The sequence below is a fragment of the Homo sapiens genome, chromosome 13, assembly GCF_000001405.40.
Source record: "Homo sapiens chromosome 13, GRCh38.p14 Primary Assembly".
Classification (NCBI taxonomy): Eukaryota; Metazoa; Chordata; class Mammalia; order Primates; family Hominidae; genus Homo; species Homo sapiens.
In genome coordinates, this window is record NC_000013.11 from 68861078 (window position 1) to 68861283 (window position 206).

Here is a 206-nt window from a genome sequence, read left to right on the forward strand (position 1 = left end):
TTCTGTTTTCTTTTATTAGTTTTATAGTTTTGCATCTTACATTTAATTATTTATTTTATCTGAAGTTAATTTTTGTGTATAGTGAGAGATAGGAGTCCAGGTAATTCTTCCATATATGGATAGCTGATTTTCCCAACACAATTTATTGAAGAGGGTATCATTTCCTTAACGTATGTTCTTGGTTCCTTTGTTAAAAATCTTAAATA